The following is a 24,888-nucleotide window of genomic DNA, read 5'->3' as shown; positions in this document are numbered from 1 at the left end:
AAGGGAAGGTGAAATTAAATTGTATTTAGAAGGAAAAATAAGACCAAAGAAGGTGTGTATGTGTGTGTGATTGTTCTAGGCAATTTGAACATGTTTATACGCTGAGACAGAATACAAAGGGACAATTTAGAGATTGATGAAAGAGGGTGATTCACAGAAAAGTTCTTAAAAGTGTAGGAAGAGGGCTTTGAGAGGAATTATCCTGGTATAGAATGGGCTCATTCTCTGAGACTGCAGAGAAGTGCATATGTGACAGTGATGTTGGCAGACAGAAGTTGGGAGTCTCACTTGATGTTTCCTATTTAGATTACAAATTTGGGATGGGAAGAGAGGAAGGGTGTCACAGGATCCTTTACTGAGTGGAACCACATGTGTACATACATATTACCTGTGTGTGTGCATGTTTATTAGACAGTAGGCTTGAGTAAATGTGAGGAGGAGAAGGAGGGGAGTAGGAGTTCATCAAGGTCAAGTAAAATGACTGATATGGAGCATTGAGGACGCAGTAAGTGATGGCCTCAATCTAATAGTTGTGAGCCTATCTTTATCTTTGGATCCATAGCCCAGATATGTAAATGAAGAAGTCTGCTTATGAGACTACATAGACCGTAAAGACAAAACATGCTACCAAACAACTGTTATTTGCAGTAAGTTTTGAAGAAACTTGCCATTTGGATCCTGCCTGATGTACTCTTTAAAGGACTCCATCTCTCTGAAACAACTGTGGTAATGTTCCAAGGAGCTCTCCTTTATCATTTTATATTAAACATATTCTCAGTCTGTGATGATCTTAACTAAAGACGTTAGATTTTTAAGTCCTGTAGAGATCTTCCAAGCAACCATGATTTTCAGGACACAGGCACTATTCAGGGTCCTTAAACTAGTTAAGACTAGATACTACTTAGGAGCCTAGCTCTTTTCAGCTACATCACAGTATGATTTTTTTCAACTATCCTGTGATTCTTTTCTTCCATCAGAGATAAAATTTCCACTTATTTTATAATCAAAAACATTATTTGTTGTCAGCATTCTTTAAAAAATGTGTAGCATTTCCTACAGAAATGGAAAGATAGATGAAAATATTTTTTTTTGGCTGGGTGCGGTGGCTCACGCTTGTAATCCCAGCACTTGAGAATTGCTTGAACCTGGGAGGCGGAGGTTGCAGTGAGCCGAGATCGTGCCATTGCACTCCAGCCTGGGCAACAAGAGCAAAACTCCGTCTCAAAAAAAAAAAAAAAAAAAAGAAAGAAAAGAAAAGATTTTTTTTCTATGTAGAAAGATATTTTAGTTTCTCTAAAACTATCAATTAAATATAGTCAATCTATTCATGAGAAAATTTATCCATTAAATAGTTAAATGATTTATTCAAGGTCAGATTTAAATCATTCTCAATACTGGCTCATTCTCCTAAACTACTTTTAAATGTGTTCCCTTATGTATTAAGTTTTGACTTTACAACAAAACATTTTTCATGATAAAATGGACATTTTATAGATGAAAAAGTACAATTGTACTAAATAAATATAATGGATCAGAGGTGACACAGTCTTTAGGTTGCACAAATAGGCTTCCTTATCAACAAAATAAATAGATAAATACTTTTTATTTAAGAAGTGCTTATTTACTTTTAAGTTCCAGTGTAGCATCTTTGAACTATATCTTATGTAATCAACTGAAAGAAAAACAGTTTAATACAACTATCTGGGGGAAAAAGATGCTTAATTTTTCACTCTAGCTAGGATCCTTTCAGTTTGTCATTTCTTCCCTATTGACTTCAGAAATGACATGTTCATTTTATACTCTAGTACTCTATTATTTCAAATAAGTAGTCTATTTAGGCCTCACAAAGTCTTGCTAAATAAAACGTAAATGGAATGAAACTAGCCTGCACTTCAGAAGAAAAGGTATAGCATTGAACAAATAAACTTATACATACTTCTAGGTACAAAAACAATTTTTAGATGAATACACAAAGAGAAATCATATTTTATCTGCAATACTGTGGTGTATATTATCTCCTGATTTTTGAAATATGTTACCTCAACTTAAGAATAAGTTACTTTTAAAGTAATAGATACTAGCACAAAAATTGTTTATATAACTACGCATTTTTAAAGACAAGTAGTCACATTTTGAGAAATTGATAAAAATTAATGCCTTTTGTTTTCATGAAAGGATATTTTTGGGACATTCAATGCATAAGATTTTGAGCTACAAGTGAACATTTTAAAAGAGATATGCATTTGTTCTCATTTTAATAAATGATCTGTCCTAACATTTTCAGGAACATAGCAAGTATTAAACTTGTCATCAGTAAATCATGGTTCTTATGATAATCATAACTGCCAAAATAACGTCATGTTAATTCCAAAGTGCAAAACATTCTTGTATAGCACATAGTATATCTCTTAACCATTAAATAGATAACTACCAATCAGCCATAACCACAGATTTTTGAGTTAACATGTATTGTCCTTAAATCCTACTAGCACTATACAACCAAAGTCTGTGACGTGTAGAATATGGCAAACTTCGTGATGTATCTATAGTTAAATAAAAGAAGACATTCACACGATAAAAGTAGCAACACACAGGGTACTTACCCTCAGAGAATGCTAAATTTAAATGTATATTAAAAATAAATATAATAGGCAATAAAATTTCTGTGATTGACTGAAAGGATTTTCTCAGGAGGTACATGAATAAGTTTGAACTATAGAATCAAAGCAGTGTTTTAGCACTGACTGATTTCCTATGATAAAATAGGTTTCCTGAGATTTAACTTGAGAATAAATGAAATTTCTAGCAGCTTAATTACAGGAATAAGGCAACTTTAAGGCAGTGTTTCTTGAAATTATAATCATGTTTGTGAATTTCAGGCAAAGCTCAAGTTCAATATGCTTCAAGGTCATGATTATACCTTTTAAAGTAATATTAAAGAATGAATGCAAGCCTGAAAGTCAGTGACCTGAATGTTGTTTTGTGGCTATACTATATATTTTAAAATAGAATACCATGAGGAAAACAGTGCTGAGTAGAACCAATGCAAAGCTTTCAAATATTTATGAATCAGATCATTAATAATACCAATGATGTACTAAGTGTGAGCAGTCAATCGATGTAAAAACTGTACAGTTATTGGCCCTCTCTGACTGGCTGGAAAAGTATGGGGTAACTAATGATGTAAAATGCTTATTACAAATTTGATAGTTATACAGGTATATATTAAGATCTGGGAATAAAATGATAAACTGAACCATAGAAAAGAGATTTTGAAGCAATTACTAATCAGGATAAGATTCTAATAAATCAATCTGCATTAAGGTTGCTCTTCATCAGCTAGATTCATGGTATTGCAAATTATTTACATTTTTAAAGGCTCACCTGGCTTAGCAATGATATTCAAATAATTTCCATAATGTTGCCTGACAAGGACACCTTAGAAAATTGCTTATTTAACTCTTAGATTTTAATGGAACAAAAAGAGTGTAGGGAAAAAAAGAAAAGAAGGGGGAAAAGAAAAACCCACCTCACCTAAGCCAGTTAGAGGAAAATATGAAGGAAAAAATGCCAAATATAAAGGAATAAAATTGTAACACGTATCTACAAGCATAGAGTCAGCCTATTGACATAGAGTATAGATGTATAGATGTAGAATTGTGCAATTTTTCTATGACAGCATATCTGTAAGTAATTTATATCATTATAGAATAAGCAGTGATAGTCTAAGCCCCTTTTCATACATTTGGTGAAAACCACGCAGTACCCTATTTATATACTGTATCCATTCCAATTAGCATATATTTTAGCTTCAAAGCATAACAATAGAAGTTACATCATCATCACTTTACAAAAAAAAATGACTTTTTTAATGTTCTTGAAAAATCTCTAAGGTGAAAAGAAACTCTGCCCAGAGTAGGTTCCACAGAGCATTCAAATTTTTCCCTGTGGTGGAATTTCATTACGTTCTGCACCTTGCCAGAAATTACTGTCTAAATTACTCTCTGTGCTGAATTTAACAAAGAGTACATAAGCAAAGAAAGAAAAGGGCTTTAAACATAAAGGAGCAAAGAGGGAAAAAAACTTCTTAAGCAAATATTCATTCATGTTGAAAGTATCATTTTCTGCTGCTGCACTTTTAGAGGCATACAAAATTTGACTCAGTCTCAGCCCTCAAGGTGCACACAGTCTACTTGGACAGAGATAACTGATAGAACATGAAACAGATAAAAATATAAATATCTACCCACTCTCTAGAGATAGTCTTATCTTATTCACTCCCACTGCTTAAACTATTATCTACATGGTATGGCCAAAGACTCTCTAAATATTATCTTCACTCTCACCTATTCTCTGTGATTCATATTATGCTTTTATAATCCAATAGATGTTTCAATAGTTCTTTAAACTAATGTGAAAATCACTAGCTTTCACACTCAGACTATACTACAAGAACTACTTTTTCTAATTTTTTCCTTAAAAAATAATAGCTTAACCTTCTGGTCACCAGCTCTTCTTTCTCCTTCACATTTTCTCATTTAGTCAATCCTTCAACCCATCTATAAAGAATTTCTCAAATTCTCTCCAATCCCACTGCCCGAGCTGATAGCATTATCTTTGGCCTGCACTACTTCAAGAGTTTCTCAGACTGATCTCAATTACTGCAGGCTCTCTTCACTGTAATTCATCCTCATCATTCCTACCAGTTCCCTTTCTAATACAAATCTGATGAGATAAAGCTCTTGCTTAAATATTGACTATTTCTATCTATAGAAATGAGACCTATCAGCTTTCCCACTTTTATTTCTTGCCACTTCCCACCTGCCATCAATATTGAACTATTCATATGAACTAAACGTAATATGTCTTTCCACTATACTGCACATATTTTTTACTGTATCTAACCAAGATGTGCACGTTATCCTTTTCTCCTCTGGCAAATGGTTACCTAACCTTCAGTACCCTAATGGAATGTCACTTCCTCTGTAGCATTATCCTTCCCATGTGCTCTCATGGCACAATTTATATAAATATATATCTATATATATTTATATACATACATATTATATATTTATAAACATAAATCATACTACCATGGTTATATATATTGGTATGGCTTATGTTTTCTTTGCTAGACTATAGATCATTTTTGTAATTTTTACTTGAATGAATTTGGAAAGTACAGTGATACAAATAAACAGAGTTTGTTAGCAGAGTACAAATTACCAAGGCTAGGCTGAGAAATCAGGAAGGACTCACATAAAATAATTCAGTCTTAGGAGTACATATACATCAGCAAGCTGGGAAAGGGGGAGGACATTCCAGCAGAAGGACAAACATGTACAAAATGTCATGTTCAGTAATCCATAAGTATTTGCTAGTGGTAAAGCTGGGAAAATGTATATATAAGCTAAGGGGGATAAGAAAAGAGAATTGAACCTGATCCTTCAAATGTTTAAATGATGTTGCTAAAGACTCAGATGAGTTGAGCTAATCTGCAAGGATGTAAGATTTTGTTCAATTGTACCTAGCAATACAAAGAATATAGAGTTTGATACTGATCTGGGTTGGGATTTGTGGGGCAGGTGTGGCATAAGCAGACAAGTATAAGGATAATGAAGATCTTAGTGAATGGTTCAGATAACCTGTCATTGGTTCCAGACTATGTAGAAGAACTGGGAGGAATCAAGGAACACAGACTATGTTTTCAAAAATCAGATATGCTGGAATTGAAAAATTGAAAGCTGTAATTCATGGATCCAATAGGTTATTTACTAAGCACTTCCTATGTCCCAAGTACTGTTTTAGGTACTGGGGATACAACAATGAAAAGAAAGACAAAAATCCCCAAGATGTTTGTTAATCTTCAAGTGTTCAGAGGTAAACCAGTTCTGGAAAACATCATGACCACACACGACTCAAGTGTGGTGGAAGTCTGGGTCCCTGGAGTTTAGGTGAACAAGGAACTCTAAGGAAAACATATTCCATAAAAATATGTTTAAGTGATAAACAGGAAATCAGAATAATCAGGACATAAGGACTTGGATGATAATGGACAAAAGGCTAGGTGCAAAAGTTTTCAATGAATGTGGAGTGAACAGGAGGTTGCTGGGTTGTAAAGATGAAAATGGGTAGAAGAGAGCATGGTCAGATGTAAATGTTTCATTGAAGCAAGAATTTTTACTTGAAAGTAGAATATGACGAGAAGCAGCCATTGAGAGAAAAGAACATGCACTACTTTCTGATCCTCTGGGATGCACACAAAATGGGCAGAACTAGGTTAGTATTGGTTAAGACAAGATCAAGGAAGACACATTTTATGAACATTAAGGATACGTTTTGTTTACCATGGCATGAGGAACAGCGTTCCACAGGCCCACTAAAAAGGTCAAGGAGATAGTAGCAGTGGTGAAGTTGGTTCAGAAAAAAAAAAAAGCACAGAAAAGTATATGGGTGAGTGTGAGGTGGAAGATGAGAAATGATTTGAGGAACGGACATTGTGGGCAGTGATCTGAGTGCACTTGGCTGACTCAAGGGTTAGAAAGAGCGAAGTGCGGCAGATGAGTGCAGGCTCTAAAGAATTGCTGTTAGAATTACAGCTTTACCACGTACAGACTCTGTGACTTTGGAAATCGTATAAAGTACTTTATATAGAGCTTGCCAAAAGCAATTTTTTTTTTTTTTGAGACGGAGTCTCGCTCTGTCGCCCAGACTGGAGTGCAGTGGCGCGATCTCGGCTCACTGCAAGCTCCACCTCCTGGGTTCACGCTATTCTCCTGCCTCAGCCTCCTACAGGTGCCCGCCACCACTCCCAGCTAATTTCTTTGTATTTTTTTAGTAGAGATAAGGTTTCACCTTGTTAGCCAGGATGGTCTCGATCTCCTGACCTCGTGATCCGCCCGCCTCGGCCTCCAAAAGTGCTGGGATTACAGGAGTGAGCCACCGCACCCAGCTGCAATTCTTAAATAGTAGCTATTATTAATGTGCTAAAACCAAAGGTAGTGTTGAAAGTTGAAAGAAACTGGTCACTGAAGGCCTGTTTTATAAGCCAGTGTAGGCTGACGCCTTGAGAAATCAGAGGTCTGTAGATGTTGAAGTTAGTACAAATAGGTTCCGAGTGGAAATGGAGGTGAACATATTGCAAAACTCAGAGTGGACTGAGGCTTCACTACACTGGGGTAAGTAACAGACATACTAGGTGATCAGAGCCTCACAGCCAGCACAGGTAGTAAGTGTTGGAAAATCAGTGGCCTTGTTGTATAAGCCAATGATTCTCAACCTTTGGTGTCCATCAGAGTCATCTGCAAGGCTTGTTAAAAAAACAAATTGCTGAGCCCCACCCCTCCTAATTTGTATTTCAGTAGATCTAGGGTGAGTCTTGAGAATATGCATTTATACTAAGTTCTCAAGTAATGTTGATACTGGTCCAAGGGCCACAAATAAGAGAATCATAAATTCAGGCCCTAATTACAAATGCATTCCTGGTAATCAGAGGTCATTCATAAAGTCTGTTTTGAATGAATAATGTGATCAGCCAAATAGTACAGAAAGCCATGTAGTCTCTAGACATCAGAGAGGGCTCTACAGAGGAGGGGAAATTTAATGACTCTGGAAAGATATGTGGAGATCAGAGAGCTAGAAGCATGCAAGCTGAGGGGAGAGAGAAACACAAAAACCTAACTCCAAAAACAAAAAATGTGTATATGTTGTTAGAAAGCAGCTAGTATGGCTGAAGCAGACTGTAACTATTTTATACATACACACACACACACACACACACACACACACACACACACACATATATGAACACACATACATTCCTTTTAGGCAGAGTCGAGATTCTGGTGTACCTACCCAACTTGAAGAGTAAAAAGCAAAGAATGCTATCACCTGGTCTCTGCAACTGGCTCACCTCCACTGGAAAGTGAGCCCAGCTTTGTGTTTGTTTGTCCCTACCTGAGCCTTAAGTAGGCAGGGCAATGAGACAGGATAAATAAATGTGTCAAATGAAAATTCTGCATATTTATGGAGGCTTATGATAAAGTGTTATCACTAAAAGCTTGTGGCCTGGGATGACAGCGGGAGAATCAGAGTTTAAAATACAGGTTCAGGCTTTACCATCTGCTATATGACCTTGGTAGTTAACACCTACTGAACCTGTTTTCTCTAATATGGAAGTAATATTTGCCACAGGAATTAAATCAGCCAATGCATACAGAGTTCGGCATAGTGAATGTGGCTAGAAAATATTCTCTAAGCTCTAGCTATTACTTACTACAAGACCACACCTTTAAATCCAGCCTACTGGACATCAGATTTGTTTTCCTGCTGCCACTGCTCCAACAGGAGTGTCATTTCCTGAAGCTTTACTAAGCCCTAATCTGAAAAATGAAAACAGAAGTTCCAGTGCTGGTACTTCAGGACAAAGATGGGGGACAGCTGAAAGTTCTGGCTCTTTAGTGCAAAAATGCATTTAGATCTTATGATAAAAATGTGTAAGACTTACATCTAAAAGACAGAAGAAATGTTAATATAAAATTGTGTCAGAAATAAGACAGCTAGATAAGGGGCCAGAACCAAGAAGGATAAAATTCAAAAAACATTCCTTGCTCCATCCTCTTTTTTCACTGAAGGACTACCAGATGGATGGTTTACTTTTAGTGTTGGTTGTATGTCCTCTTCTTGCACTGCAAATCTAACAAAGCTAGATTAAGTCCATGGGCAGGAACACCATTCTGATTTTGTCATGTCTTCATCAGAGCAAATGAAAACAGTATAAATTTAGTTTTTTATACTGAACCTCAAATTTTCAGCAAATTGTCAAATAGCTGTTATTGGCTTCTTAGGAAATACTTTTTTTTTAAAAGGAAGCTGAAAAGAGAAAAATTCACCACGATTCCAGATCCCAATGCATGAAGTTGATTGTTGAGAGTAGCGCAGATGGAAAAGGACATACGTAACCATGTTTGTGTTCTTTCTTCTTACATAATCTTCTTACATGTTAAATAATGTTGCTATGTTCTTGTGTGTCTTGTTTTATAATCTCAATTGCTTCCTATAGTTTGCCTTAACAATTCTACAAGGAACCACATACTTCAGCTTTCCAACCCCAGCAGAAAACAAAATCCTAGCTATTCTTAAAAAAAAAGGAAAACCTTGTTACTGGCAGATTAGTACTTGTGTATATTGTGTTTAGATACACAATTTAGTGAAAATAGATAAGTGAAAACAAAATTTGGACTGATTTTGCCACTTATTTTTCATTTATTAGGGCCATGTGCTAGACGAAGAGGGTCTGAGATTTATGCAGTAAATATATTAAATACAGATTGAATAAAATGAGTTCTTTTATCTGTTTGGATAGGTCAAACACTATTAAACTATTACAACTAAATTATATCTACTCAATAACAGTTCATTTAAAGTATGTGTCAAAATTTGACAGGCTTTTGGGAGTTTCTAAATTGGGATTTGACCTAAGGTATCAACTCCATAAGTCATCCCAGTTATGAATGATTTTAGTAAAAAGAAAGACACAGGAAAAGAAAAAAACCTGAAAGAGACTGTTATTGGTAACCTAGATTTCTAGGTTAAGTATAGTGATTCACTGAAATGCTAACACAATTATTTTTGGGAAAACTTAGGTATCTATCATAAAGCTCAATATTCCCACAGACATTTTGTTTACCTGATTTAAAATAATTCTCATGACTGGGTGTGGTGGCTCACACATGTAATCCCAGCACATTGGGAAGCCGAGGCAGGTGGATGGCTTTGGCCCAAGTTTGAGACCAGTCTGGGCAACATGGCAAAACCTTGTCTCTACAAAAAAACACAAAAACTAGTCAGGCATGGTGATGCATGCCTGTGGGGGACTGAGGTGGGAGGATCTATCGAACCTGGGAGGTTGAGGCTGCAGTGAGCTGTGATCATGCCATTTGCACTCCAGCCTGGGTGACAGAGTGAGACCCTGTCTCAAGAAAAAAAAACAAACTCAATTACAAATGACTTTAATGACTTTTATATATATAAAAAATTGGAAGTAGATAGCAGGTGGAGAGACATAGGTAGTAATGTATGGTGAATTTTCAATCATTAATCTGTTTCTTTGTTGGTCACAAACTCAAGAATATATTGCACGTATAATTCTACTCAAATTATCTAAAAAATACATTATGGTTAACAGACACTTTTACAAGTAGTATTTAATCATACTGTGAGGATTCAACATTTTTTAAAGGGTAAGCATTTTTTATAAAGGGGTTTTTGCTTATCTACATTAATTCTTTCTACTCAACCAAATAATTTACATGTCAAAACTTAAAATTGTATCTTAGTGATTCTCAAAATTCTCAAGCCAGAACAGCAGCAGCAATAGTATAGAGTGAACAAGTATTCCTGGGGAGACCTGAAAGCACAGCTTTAAGTAGTCTTAAAAGCATAGTGGCTAAAATGGCCTTGACATTTCATCTTGGCCGGGTGCCATGGCTCATGCCTGTAATCCCAACACTTTAGAAGGCTGAGGCAGGTAGATCACTTGAGGTCAGGAGTTCGAGACCAGCCTGGCCAACATGGTGAAACCGTCTCTACTAAAGATACAAAAAAATTAGCTGGGCTTGGCGGCACACGCCTGTAGTCCCAGCTACTCAGGAGGCTGAGGCAGGAGAATTGCTTGAACCCGGGAGGCGGAGGGTGCAGTGAGCAGAGATCACACTGTTGCACTCCGGCCTGGGCAACAGAGCAAGACTCTCTCTCAGAAAAAAAAAAAAAAGAGATAAATCTTGTCTTATAACTTACAAGCTTTATGTTTTGCAGTTTTCTAAGGATATATATCCATGTTTCATGAAAAAATGTTTTAAGTTACCATGGAAAGACAATTCAAAAACATGCATGTTTCTTCCATGGTTTTGCCAAATCCTTATCACACAGAGAGGCATGGCCATGGGTTCAAACTGCCAAAGTATTACGCAGCTTTACTGAGTAAGGGTCTTTCTTTTACTCTTATTCAACAAGATTCTTTTGGAAGTCTTAATTTTGTAATTTTAAAAGAATCTAACATCAAGTTTTGTGTGCAGCTTTTAGATGGATAAGTTTAACTTATTTGTATGATTTTTTGGAATTATAAAAAAGAAACATACAAAAACTAAATCAATTCAAAAGGGATATTTTAATGAACATAAATTCACTAGATTTGTCATGTCAACCCTGTCCCTTCTCCTAAGTCCAGTTTACCAATAACTGCATTTAGAAACCCTAGTGGAGCCCAAACAACTTAGCACAGCCTATAATCTGACTATTCTATCCAAACGTATTTCTCTATTTGTTCCTTGTCTCCTAATTTATGACCGAGCCATGCTTAACTTTCTCCAGGGTGCCGTAATCTTGATTCTGGTCCTTTTTTGTCCCCAACTTTTAAACAAACTGTTCTGTTTCTAACACTTGTGTCCCCAACACTTACCTCCAACCCAGGTAATACAACTACCTTCAAGAATCCTTTCCTAACTGCTAAAGATTGAGCACACTGTAATAACACCCAATAGTTCCTCCAGAAAATTTATCAACCCATATAATTCTTTACTTATCTCATACTGAACTGAAAGCCCCATGATAGGAAGAAATTGTGTTTTAGTTATTTAGGTTGGTGCAAAAGTAATTGTGGTTTTTCTAATTTTAACGGCAAAAATCGCAATTACTTTCGCACCAACCTGTATTTCATCCAAAGCATCTAAGCTGGCACATAGCAGGTAATGAACACTTGTTGAAAAAAAGAATTAAAGACTCTCAAGAGGTTAAATATTAGCAAATAGGCTGGGAGCGGTGGCTCACACCTGTAATCCCAGCAGTTTGGGAGGCTGAGGCAGGTGGATCATTTGAGGTCAGGAGTTCGAAACCAGCCTGGTCACATGGTAAAACCCTGTCTCTACTAAAAATACAAAAATTAGCTGGGTGTGGTGGTGGGTGCCTGTAATTCCAGCTACTCGGAAGGCTGAGGCAGGAGAATTGCTTGAACCCGAGAGGTGGAGGTTGCAGTGAGCCGAGATAATACCACCGCACTCCAGCCTGGGTGACAGAGCAAGACTGTGTCTAAAATAATAATAATAATAATAATAAAAGCAAATGTTAGCAATTTATGTGGCTAGTAATCCATATTTCTAGGAGCTATTTTCCTTGAAAGTTGGTAGTAATCCATATTTTTAGGAGCTATTTTCCTTGAAAGTTGATAGTAATCCATATTTTTAGGAGCTATTTTACTTGAAAGCATAATAATGGATGTTTTACACTGACATACAATCTTTAAAACTGAAACCAACCTCTTCTTAACTGTATAAAGTTAACTGCAGGTACACTCCTGCAGTTAACTTTATAAATAGATATAAAAAATTAAACTACTTTACAAAACAAAAATGGAAAGTCGAGGTAATAAATTAATCTCATATATACACTGTGTTATTCACAATGGTGTAGAGAGAAAAGAACAAAGACTTTGAGGTCGAAAAATGTCTCATAATTATCTCACCTTAAAATTGGGCCAAAAGTTGATTTTTGTACCACTAGATATTCCCAACCCTGTATTTCTACAGCATATTTCATATCTTACTTGAAACTACAAATAACACAAGACAGAAAAGACATGTACTATCATCACCTCCATTGTACAGATGAGAAAATGGACTTCGATAAATGAAGTGCCTTGCTCAAGCTACCATTGGTAAATGGTGATATGCTCAGCCTCCTGTTCCCTGATGTCCTTATTTTGCTATACTGTATACTGTCATAACATGAATCAGACTAGAAGCTATTTGAAAGTAGTAAGTCAGTTATACTATAACACAACATAAGCATTTCCAAGAATTGCCACACTATGCAAAATCATACAATAAAAACCACAGGACTTATGAGGAAAATGATAAGGTTAGGGCACAACACTCAAAATCTTCAACTCTGACACTAAAAAGGATAGAATTAATTTCTTAAAAGGCAGCACAGTTTACATGTTAAATGGTTAAGAAATATATAGACACTACTATAAATGACTTTATCTTGAAAAAGACCTGAAGTTTGCTTGAAAAAAAGAAGGTGTCAGATGTGTTGAAAACAGCTATCTGAAATTGGATAGGAAGTTATTAGCACCAGATATGGATGAGCGTGGCTTTTAACTTGTGGAAAACTGAGAATGCTAATAGATGTCTGAGGTATGTACATGTGTGCACACCATATATATATTTCTTACACAGCTGGTTCAGTTGGTTGTAATTTTCTGCTTTCATTTGTTTCTCAGGATGAAATCTTCAGTAAACATGAAATTCACATTATGCTTAAATTGTTCCCTAATATATTAAATATGCTAGAATATGCATTTTCAATGTCTAATAGAACCAGCTGTACTGTGGTTCTGTTTATCTTTGTATTCTCTACAATGTACATGGCAAATGTCCAACGTACATAGCAAATGTCTTCTGAGACATCAAAATGATCTTAGGGAAAAAAACACCTTCCATAAATAGAATGCCAAAAACTGCCCCCACCCCCAATTAGAGGAAAAGAAAAACTACTAATGGAATGGAACAGTATTTCACATAATCCTTATAAGTGAACATATGAAGTAATTCTCTCCATTTTACAGATGAGAAAATAATGGTTTTTAAATGTCTCTTATGTCAATGTCTATGCTTTTTCCAGAGTAAAAGTGTATTTATAATTAGAGCTATTATATATATATTACACTATAAAACTCCAAACTTAGGGCAAAGACAACTATAGCAATGTTTCTATCTCTTCCTGTAGCTAATTTCTAAGAATCATGACTATATGAATCAGAATCACATTTTAGAATTCTACAAATCTCCTTTTTAAAGGAGCTCTTTAACCGTAATTCTTCGACCAATTTCCCTCCACCATAGTTGAATATACCAGTAATAAATACATGAATGCTTCATGTAAATCACTACTAGTGATTTCAACCATCTGGAACCACTGCAATCTCAGAAGTTAAAAAGCAAAACAACACAAAACTGGAAAATAATAATAATAAAAAAAAAACCCACAAAAAAAGGGAGTGGGGGGAGGGAGGTTTTAAAGTGAACCAGATAAAAATAGCATAACACCTGAATATTACATAAAATGCACTATCATTTATCAACTCAATAACCACAAATAAAAAGAATCTAACTGGTTGATTATGGTTATAAAAAGTCTAAATCATTTAGTTGCAAAGAAGAGAATGATGGAAGAAAAACAGAGAAATAAACAGTGTTAAGTGATGGACAGCTAATGCAGCAACAAGGTTGAGAGAGAAATGGGGGTGGTAAGCAGGAAATAGTAAGACATGACAATAGATAAGATTGCTAGCCATAAGAATATTTTAAAATTTTGCTAAGGTTATGGGGAATAGCCCCTGAAGGCATACTTTGCACAGGTAATGTATATTTATAGTACAGCTCTAACTCTCACAGAGAATATCAGTCATCATTCAGTAAGGCTTAGGCATTTCAACTGTTAGACTGTGCTATGCAATAGGAATAGAGAATGTGACTGAGGAAGCATTAATAGAAAAGCTATTTATGAAAATGACCTGAGTATCATTTCATTAAACCACAAAATGTAATAAACAAATCAGGAATTGAGTATTAATTTGCATTCTATTAAAAAAAATCAGTTCACATGGACATTCCTTCCCTGTCAGACTAAATTTGACTTTTAACACTAATCATACTGATTTCTATTATAAGCTATCAACTTGTACATAATAGTTTAAATTTATGAATAATAGCAGGCCTGTATTTCTTTTGATCAGTATTATACATTGAAGACTGGATTGGAAAGCCAGGGACTTGGATTCTAACTACAGGTAAGTTACAATAAATATGTTGCTAAACTATTCATTTGATCTCTAGAACTGTTTATCTTTAAAACAGCTGGTTAAAACTAGATATCCGGGTTCCTTTTCAGTTCAATTATTTCTTGGTATTAACTATATCTGCATAACTTAAAATTACTAATGAAATAATTTCCACACTCAGGAAAAAACTTTGAAGCTGATTTTTATAGAACTGAAAAAATGCATTGAGTGCTTCTCCAACTTATGTCCAAATGCATCACCTGCCAATCTTGTCAAAATGTAGATTCAGTAGGCTCATAGACTGAGTTTCTAATAAACTCCTAGGTGATACTAATTTGCCACTGGTCTGGTGACTATATTTTTAATAGGGAGGTTCTAGGATTTGAAGAAAAGTAGTATTGACCAGCTAGGCTAGTCTAGATATTAGAGAAAGCAACTATGACCACGAATAAAACAACACAAATATATGCTACAAAATTTCTTGATAAAATATATCTGGGATCTGCATTAATAAAGGAGATGAGAATTGGGTGGAGGAAACGAGGAAGATCTAAGTTGCTAACTGAAGCTGACAAGGGTTTGTTAAATATTCTTCTATTTTTTGTATGTTTGAAATATCTAAAAATGTTAAAATTTTCTGATTCAAAAACCTATACAACATACCAAGACAATAAACCAAGTGAATGAAAATAGAGATGCCACATAGTCTTTCTGTCCATTGAAATGGGAGCCAAAGAGGGAGGAAGAAAAGCGAGAGAAGTGCAAAACGGGTGGCTCTGTGAAGCTACAAAGGGTATGTTTGTATTTAAGGACCTTACACATAATTCAGCGTCTAAAATACCAATGATATAGCTCCTTGTTTACATCCTTAAGAGAAACCTGAGGCCCAAATGACTTATTTCTTAAACACAATTTAAAATCCTTGTTAAAAATTGGTTAAATGTCATGAGATTTGATAGGGGAATTATCAATGTCCAAACAGTCTGTTAAAAATTATAAAGTGTGTTTTGAACAATATTGTACTATTTAAACACCCAATATCATATTATTTGCCATTTTTATAACTAGGCAAAACAAGAAATTTAGCCTACAGAATATAGGACAAATTCCTCTTGAAAAGCAACCACTGAATAATAAAATACTAAACTGAAGGTAACAATTACCTCTTGGGAAAGAATAAGGTTTGAACTAAGATCAGAAAGAGGTTCATATGGGATTTCAGTTCATTCTGTAACGTTTTCTTTCAACTAATATATAATTACGTTTAAAATATGGAATATGTTAGGTAGTGATATAGTTGAGTGAAGTGCATAGGTGTTCATTACGGTTTTATTTTTCCGCGTATTTGAACAGTTCTTAATGTGAATAATCTAATACTCTATAACTTTAACATGTACACTTTTATTTGCAAAATCTGAAACTAGAAAATTTAAAGGGAAGCTATTCAAAATAACAAAGAATAACTATAAAACTAAGGTTTTGCATAATCAATGAATATTACGGTTTAAAATTAAGACTTTCTGCTGAATTCTTGCCATCAGATTTCCTAGTATACTCAATTTCACTGAATTCTGTACTTTCTTCTGAATGAAAAAAACGTTTTCAGATTTAGGCTCCATTTTAATATATTAAGGCAGCCAGAAAATCCTGTTTGAAGTTCAGAGCTGCTCATGAGAGTATGTCTTTCTTCCTTAGCCTTGAAATTCCTGAGTGTTAAAATTACCTGTTTCACAGCAACTTTTTTATACATATGAAATCTTAAGTGCAGTCTATAATTAAATATGTGCATTTTATGATTGGGCTATCAAGTTCAAACAGAAAATATAAAGCTAAATCCATGGTTTCTTTTCATCTGGCTTGGGATGCTCTCTATAACTGCATTTTACATCTTTCTGCTTTATGAAACTAGTAAATAATTTTAAAACATTAGTATTTCTTTGTAGCAAAAAGACATATTAGGATAACATGTATTGTGGATAATGAAGTTTACTGTGGGCAAATCTGGCAGTCTGGGAACTGGCATTAGTTAACTAATTGCATAGCATTCCTTCACTTATCCTATTTGAGCCTCTGTAATAATCCTGTGAGGGGAGCAGAGCAGAACTTATTGCCTCCATTTTACAAATAACATTGAGGCTTTGAAAAGTGATTTGTCCTTTCCCTAGTAATTATATGGTGATACAAATAGATGTACATGAATGAATTAAGCTAATCACCATAATTTCACTATACTAACCTTAACTCTAGGAGCTAAAATGCTTCCAAAGTGTTAATTTAATCTCTAATATAATGATTCATTACACTTCCTGGTTAAGGAAAAATTTTCTTCATTGCTTTCAAATGCTAACGTTAAATATAAACTGTAGATATCTCTTCCTTAAGTAGGTACTTTAAAACCCATTTCCAAAATACATCTTCAATACCAAAAAATAATTTTTCTGATTATTTCTAAATATTCAAGTTAAGACCTCTATTAACAAAGCAGCTAAGTCCTAAGAATACTTGTTAGCTTGTTCACTCTAAGAGTCATAGAGTACTAATATACGACAAAGCTGTTTTTATTTTTACCTAACTTTTAATAAGCAATTCACTATATGCCAAGGCCTGGGTTAATTTGATGTACTGAATTAAAAATATTCTAGAATGTCAAAATCCCCCTTTAGTGACTTGGTGCTTTGGAAGGAAGGCCGTATTAGGGCATACTGTAAGACAGTATAGAATCTGCTGTAGTCCTTAGGCAGGAAGAGCTGGTTTCTGGTTATCTCCCACTAGGGAGACTGGGAACTCCCACCAGCTTAGCAACTGGCACAAACTAAGTCCACACACACAGCTCAGGACTTAGTTTCTCCTTCCCAAGGCAATCCCACCCACAATGAGCACCTGAAAAGGTGACAGAACCTACTTTCAAATATTATAGCCACCACTAATTACTGAGAAAAACTTCACCTTGAGAAGCTTTGTTCAATTACTATTCACTAACCCTGGTATTGGTTTTTTAGACTTTAGACTTATCTGATGCTGGTAGAGTTCCTCTGTGCTACGATGTTATTTTAAGAAAAAAACACAGATCACCTAGCTTCCAAATCATCCCAGACTGTTGACTCTAATGGTTCTTCTTCAGATGACAACAGTGACACTAGTGTAAACAAAATTATTTTACTTATTATATTCTTCTTTCTTGGAGGTAACTGAATTACTACATTAAGTATAGTAAAACATATTTTATGTTCCTTCATTTACTTTTTATTATCCTATGTGTAAGTTTTGCATAAGTGTGGGATATTTTATAACAGAACAAACCTAAGAAACATGTGTAACTCCAAAGTTATTTGATACCAATATATCTGTTTAGAAAAACTGACCGAAATATTTTGAATATAAATAGCACCCTAATTGTAACTGCTTAACAAGTTACAGTAGTAACATCCTCAGTTGTTAAATGCAAATTACTCTAAGTTTTTAAATACTTGAATGTATATCATTCTTCCCACCCAAGGCAAAAGCAGATATGCTGATATGCAGATATGCTGCTCTTTCTTCCCAGTAATATCAAGTTCTTTTTGTTAACTCACAAGGTAGTCTAAGATTAGTAAGAAATCTTTAGCAGACACAAAAGATGAAAGATGAAACTGCAGCAAGAGAGCATGGCAAATCCAAAAGATCTATTAGTGCATAAATCTACTGGAAAAAAAAAAAAAACAACAAGAACAAAAGAGATAGAATTAACAAGCTACAATAAAAGTTATGTCTTTAAAGCAGTAGATTATAACAGGGTGGGAAATGTTTAATATGTGTCCTCCTGAAAAGCAGTTACCATCTTTTAAATTAAAAAAAACCAGCTGGTATATTTTCACAGCATCTAGATTTATTTATGGTATAAAGCCATAGAATTGTAATATTATTACTCCTTTCCCACCCTGGCAGAGAATAAACATGAATTCAGAAGCACAGTGGAGTGAAAACAAAGAAGAGGAGAGAGAAAAGGCAGCAGAGAAAGACAGAAAAGGTGAATATAGAGCTACAGAAGTGTTTATTGAGCATGCTACAGGGGTAAGCAGAGTACACACAAAATGAAATTAAACAACCATCAAACCTCCCAACTTTGTTAGAAAATTAATTTTTAATTGTGCCGCTTTCAAACTATACTGAATTTTACATTTCTAAAGATGTAAAAACTCAACTAATAGAAAATATACATGACCATTCTGTCTACATAGATAACAGAATCTATGAATCTTGAAACTAAGTACATCAATTTCAAAAAGTATTGGTCATTTAAACAGAATCAACAATTCGGATTGACAAGAACTGTTCAAATTAATTTGACCTGTAGATTCTGAGCCATGTTTTTATTAAAGTCAGATCTATTCCTAAATACAAAATATTTTGAAGATTTATTAAAACTGAATATTACAATGCAAGGTAAATTAAGACTAAAGGCACATAAACTTTGGTCCCACCTGGTTGTCAGTTTTAGAAAACTGCCACAAAATTAATCTTCCTGCATATTTTCGCAGTACACTTTCTTTATCTTTGAAAAATACATGCACCAGTTCCTGAACTAGCTAGACCAGTCTGCACATGCTCAGAAATCCACAACCATATTCCAAATCTTAATTACAAACTAAGGATGGCAATATATATTTAAATGCACGTAAGTCATGTCAACTTCAAAAACATCTACGAAAAATATTCAGCCACAAACAAGACATTACTTAGTGCTGACATTTATATGATACGTCCCACAAGAGTGTGTACGAAAAGGTTAAGATTCCACAATGCTTTCCACATAGGGCTCAAACTTACAGAAATCACTTTGTTGTCTTAAGAAATTAATACTCTGCATCTTGTTAATTTTAACTAATGCCTACATTCATAACTGAATCTAGACCAGAATTGTGAGATACAAAAGGCCAATGTTGTTTTCAAAGCAATAAAGCCTAAGGTAGTAAAAACTAAAAATGCTGCTTTATTCTTTCAATATCATGTATCTTATTTGATTAAATAGAAAAAAAGGTGACAAGCCAGTAATTCAAAATAAGTTCCAAGCAGGAGAAACAAAAACTTAACCTTTTTACACACCCCTGCCTAAACATATTTTAATTCCCATATAACAGTGTGCCCTAAACAACCAATTCCTTTTTTCTAGTAAATGCACAATAGCAACACTAGTTTTCCTTTTTAAGGCACGTATGTCAACTAAGTTGAAAGGAAAAAAAAAAAAAAAAAAAAAGCAAAATTAAACTGAAATTTTAAACAGACAAAATGGCTTCCCTATAGAACAGATGAAATATAGCAGTTAACAACTCTGCCTTTACATATGCCATTTCATTTTATAACCAAGGAATGATAACAGCATGGAAAAAAAAAAGAAACCCCAAAAAAACAAAAACAAAAAAAATCAAACTCTGGTCCCCACTTTTCTGAACAGTCAAATAGGTGATGACATTGAACAATGTGATTCACCCCCAATCTTCATCTTCCCATTTTTAAATTGTTGACTTGGAGAAAGACACTCTCAGATGATGGTTTTCTCCAAGGTTATAATTATGAAGATCAATCAAGGCCTGAATAGCTTCTTCCACTGTTGCCATCTGAAGAAGAGCCATTTTGTGATCTCTTCTGAAACAAAATTATAAAATTAGACACTTCATACAAATTAGAAAGGGCTTATTAAATACTTGAATTTTGGCCATTCCGGAATCAAAAATTTCTATAAACGAAAAGAACAAAAACTACTTAAAAATTTTATCAGGTCACTAATTTAAAGATAAGGAAGCTTGCTTACTGAAAAAACTTAAATGCTTTCACAGTGCCCCCAGTGTTAGCGAACAGTGTTCGTAGATCCTCTTCTGCTACTGATGGACTAGGAAAATTGAATGGGAAGAAAAAGTGAAGATTAAGAATAAATTTCATATTTTATCAAAATAGAATGTATCTCAATACACTCTAGCTTATATACTTACGGGATATTAGATAGGTGAAGGGTGGCAGAAGGAGGAAAAATGTTTTGAAAATTTTTGGATCCAGGTTTCTTAAAACGATGCAATGGGGAATTACCAAAATCTTTTGTTAGCCCTTGATCATCAAGTCCCTCTCGAGGTAGCTGTACAGTCTGATGTTTAGACAGAGTAACACGAATAATTTTTCCATACATTTTCTGTCCATTAAGATGATTCATGGCTATAAAAAGAAAGCATGTCTATTAACAAACAATATCAAAGCTCAAAACAAACATAATTCTTTTAACGTAACAGTTTAAAAATTTGAATTTTCTTATGATTTTAAAATAAATCACCAATTTACCATAGCCACTGGTGATAAGACTTAAGTACATTTTCATTTGAACTAGACAAGGCATTCTGGCAAAAAAGCCAGCTACTTTCATAGAATGAAAATCCAGATTATGAATATCTATCTTCCTCAACAATCCTGCTAACAAATCGTATAGTGAGCTACACAAGAAAGAAACTTAATAAGCATCCCTAGCTCTTTTTCTCCCTTCTGTTACACATCCTAATTGCTAAATATTGTGATAGCCTTCCTCCTAATTGTCCCTCAAATTCATGATCTGTTTCTCTACTTCTCGCTGACATTATTTTTTATCTGGATAACTCAGTCTCATATTTGTCTTCCTGTTGGATAATTTTTCCAATCCATTTTCTATACAGCAGCTTGATGACCTTCATAAATTACAAATCTGATCACGTCAATACCTGCTTAAAACCCTTAAGGACAAAGTTGAAACTCATTCTTTAACATGGCTTATACCTTTCCCAGTCTGTACAGGTTGAGTATCCTTAATGCAGAAATCTGAAATCTGAAATGTTCCAAAATCCAAAACTGAGGGCCAACATGATGCTCAAGGGAAATGCTCATTGGAACATTTCAGATTTGGGAAGCTCAATTGGTATAATGCAAATATTCCAAAATCCAAACCTTTGTCTCTACCCCAGAACATAGTGCAGTGTGTGAAAACAGAACATTACATGACTATTTCTTGACATAGCTGCTGGATCATTTTTAAACTAAATGAACTGGTCTGATGCTAGAAAGTTATATGTTTTATTCACCAGTCAAAATAACTAAAAAAGACCATTTCTAATATGTCATGCACTTTGGCTAAACTGAAGGTCTAAATGACTATAATCAACTAGATAATAAAGTATTAACAGTAGATGCCGGGCGCGTTGGCTCACGCCTGTAATCCCAACACTTTGGGAGGCTGAGGTGGGCGGATCACAAGGTCTAGGAGTTCGAGACCAGCCTGGCCAATATGGTAACACCCCATCTCTACTAAAAATACAAAAATTAGCTGGGCGTGGTGGCTCGTGCCTGTGGTCCCAGTTACTCAGGAGGCTGAGGCAGAATTGCTTGTACCCAGGAGGCGGAGGTTACAGTGAGCTGAGATGGTGCCACAGTGCACTCCAGCCTGGGTGACAGAGCGAGACTCTGTCTCAAAACAAAAACAAAAACCAACAAAAAACAGTAGAGTTACAGATAAAGACAATGTGGAAGATCAGGAAATTAAGAATAGAACATCCACTTTTAAAGAGTTTCTAATATAAACAGTATACTACAGTATACATTTTGACACAGAAGATACAAAGAACTGGTTAAATCCATGAATCTAATCATACTTACATGTATAATAAACCAATTAAATATAAAACAGATCTGAAAAGGATAATGCTGTCAAAATATGAGGTACCATTCAGAAAAGAAACAAAAGTAAAATTCTTATTTTACCTATAACTTCCTTAAATTTTTCTTATTATGATAACCACTAGCCATTGAACTTACTTCCCTAATTTGTTTAAAAAAATTAAAAAAAAAAAGAGTCCACTCTTCCTGATTGTCACTCCAGTGTTATATATTTTAAGTTTTCTCAGATTTTTCGCCAAGGCTAAGCACAGAAAAAAAACAAAACAATCTTCTCACAAGTCTGAATTTTCTCATTTGTTTCTCACACTGCATTTCACATACTTAATTTCATATACTTGCAAATTTACGCTTACACCTGTAAAACCAATTATCTACAGTGACAGTACATAAAATCCTTTTACAATAAAACCCACTGAATTATAAAATTTTAAAGTTCTATAACTATTTTAAGTGAACAAACTTTTGTTTAGATAAACTACCTCAGATAAAATGTGTTATTAAGTGTGAGTTTGAGAAATAAAGTGATATAAATAAGTAGACTTAACGTTGTCAGAAAAAAAGCTGTCTAAATAAAAAGACAGCACAAACAGCAGAGCTTTGAGATAATGGAGGGAAAGAATAAGAAAATAAGTCCCAGGCATAGTAACTGCATACAGAACAGATGAGTGATAGAGGAATGGGATTAAAATAAAGCTAAATAACCAAACAGCTACCTCAGGAAGTAGCCAGGTAACAAGAGAGTTCTAGCCAGCTGATTGCTGACAATAGGATCTGAAGTGATCTAAAGGGGAAGGGGGATGATAATTAGAATACCAAAATTTTTAAGTAAAAAAGAAAACAAAAGCTTTGTCAAAAACTGAAAGTACACAAGGAGTAAACAGAGCAGAAGGAAATTACCTGAATTACTAATTTTAAATGAATAAAATTTTAAACAATGTGAATCTTACACTTGAACTCTCCTATTCCAAGAAATATGGCATAAATGGACAAGGCAATAATAAAGGAAAAAGTCAATGTTTCACAATTGAAATGACATTTTTGATTTAATGTAATTTTTTACATTTCCCTTAATCCATCTATGAAAGAGATTATTAACGAATAATAAAAATTTTAAAAGACCTCAAGAAATTTACAGACATAGTGGTGTTTATATGATGTGGAAACTGGAGCTTTATCAATGCTTCTCCCCTTTATAATTCAAAAAAATTTTTTTGTGTTACCACTCTCATTTTTTAATCAATCTTTAGATGTTTGTCTATTTTTTTAGTCTTTTCAAAGAATCCAACTTGTGGCATGTTTTTTTCTCTCAACTGTCTTTTATACCATTGATTTCCAGTCTTGTCTTTAATATCTCCTTCCCTGGGGGTAACACTGTTATTCTTAAAGTTAAAACTTCCCGTCAAGACTTCTCTTTCACTGTACCACATATATCTAATTTGTATATAGTACTTTATCGCTTAATTTTAAGTATTTTATATTCCCATTAAAATAACTTCTGTCTGGGCAACACAGTGAGAACTCATCTCTACAAAAAATAATAATAATAATAAATTAGCCGGGCAGGTGGTGCATGCTTTTAGTCCTAGCTACTTTGGAGGCTTAAGTGCAAGGACTGCTTAAGCCTGGGAGGTCGAGGCTGCAGTGAGCCACAATAGCACCACTGCACTCCACCCTGGGGGACAGAGCAAGACACTGGCTCAAAAACAAACAAACAAACAAACTTCTGACTCATGCAATACTGAGACTTATTTTTAAATCTCAGGATACAGATTTTATATGCATCTTTTTGTTATTAATTCTAACTTACTTGTGCAATAGAGAATGAGGTCTGTATGATACTCTTTGAAATTAGCTGAAGCTTGCTTTATGGTTTAGTATGTGACTGATTTTTCAAAAATGTTCCATATGCGTTTAAAAACTGTGTTGGATGCATAACTTAGACACATAATTCTGTTAAGGTAATTGTATTGTATCATTTGTATCTTTGTTGATTTTGTCTTTTTTTGGTCAGTTTGACATGTAATTCAGAAAAGTGAATTGAAATCCACCACTATAATAGATTTGCTCAAGTCTACCTGTAGTTCTATCTACTTATTATTTATATATTTTGAGGCTATTTCACTAGGCACACATATACATAAACTGTTATATCTTTCTAGTGAACTAAATCCTTTATCAATTCTGTCTTAAGTTAATAAAGGTATTTAAGTTTTGTCTTGCTTACTATCTGTCCAGTATATTAGTATCTCTTTACATCCTTTTCCTTTCAATCTTTCATATTCTTCTGCTTTACATGTCTCTTGTAAAAAGTATATAGCTAACTTTTTAAATACCAAGTTTGATAATCTTTTTAGTACACCATACTAAATAGTACACCATAGAGT

The 24,888-nt window shown here is 34.4% G+C and overlaps 1 protein-coding gene across 14 annotated transcripts in view; it reads right to left on the bottom strand.

Annotated features, from left to right (window-relative positions):
* Positions 1-9,994: 9,994 nt before the first annotated feature.
* PTBP2 (polypyrimidine tract binding protein 2) overlaps positions 9,995-24,888 on the bottom strand; it is a 101,956-nt gene continuing 87,062 nt past the window's right edge. For 9 of the 14 annotated variants that reach the window (NR_125357.2, XM_011541876.3, NM_001300986.2 and 6 more), the window contains 3 exons: positions 20,806-21,022; positions 20,628-20,705; positions 9,995-20,461 (listed from right to left, as the gene is read on the bottom strand). Coding sequence is in view for 12 of the 14 variants with exons in the window: in XM_011541876.3 (XP_011540178.1) it covers positions 20,329-20,461; positions 20,628-20,705; positions 20,806-21,022 (428 nt within the window). In the remaining 2 variants the exon portion in view is untranslated. The remainder of the gene's footprint in view (positions 20,462-20,627; positions 20,706-20,805; positions 21,023-24,888) is intronic. The other 5 variants (NR_125356.1, XM_011541874.3, NM_001410833.1 and 2 more) reach the window with 1 other exon arrangement.

The sequence above is a fragment of the Homo sapiens genome, chromosome 1 (genome assembly GCF_000001405.40).
Source record: "Homo sapiens chromosome 1, GRCh38.p14 Primary Assembly".
Classification (NCBI taxonomy): Eukaryota; Metazoa; Chordata; class Mammalia; order Primates; family Hominidae; genus Homo; species Homo sapiens.
This window is presented reverse-complemented; position numbering and strand designations above follow the sequence as displayed.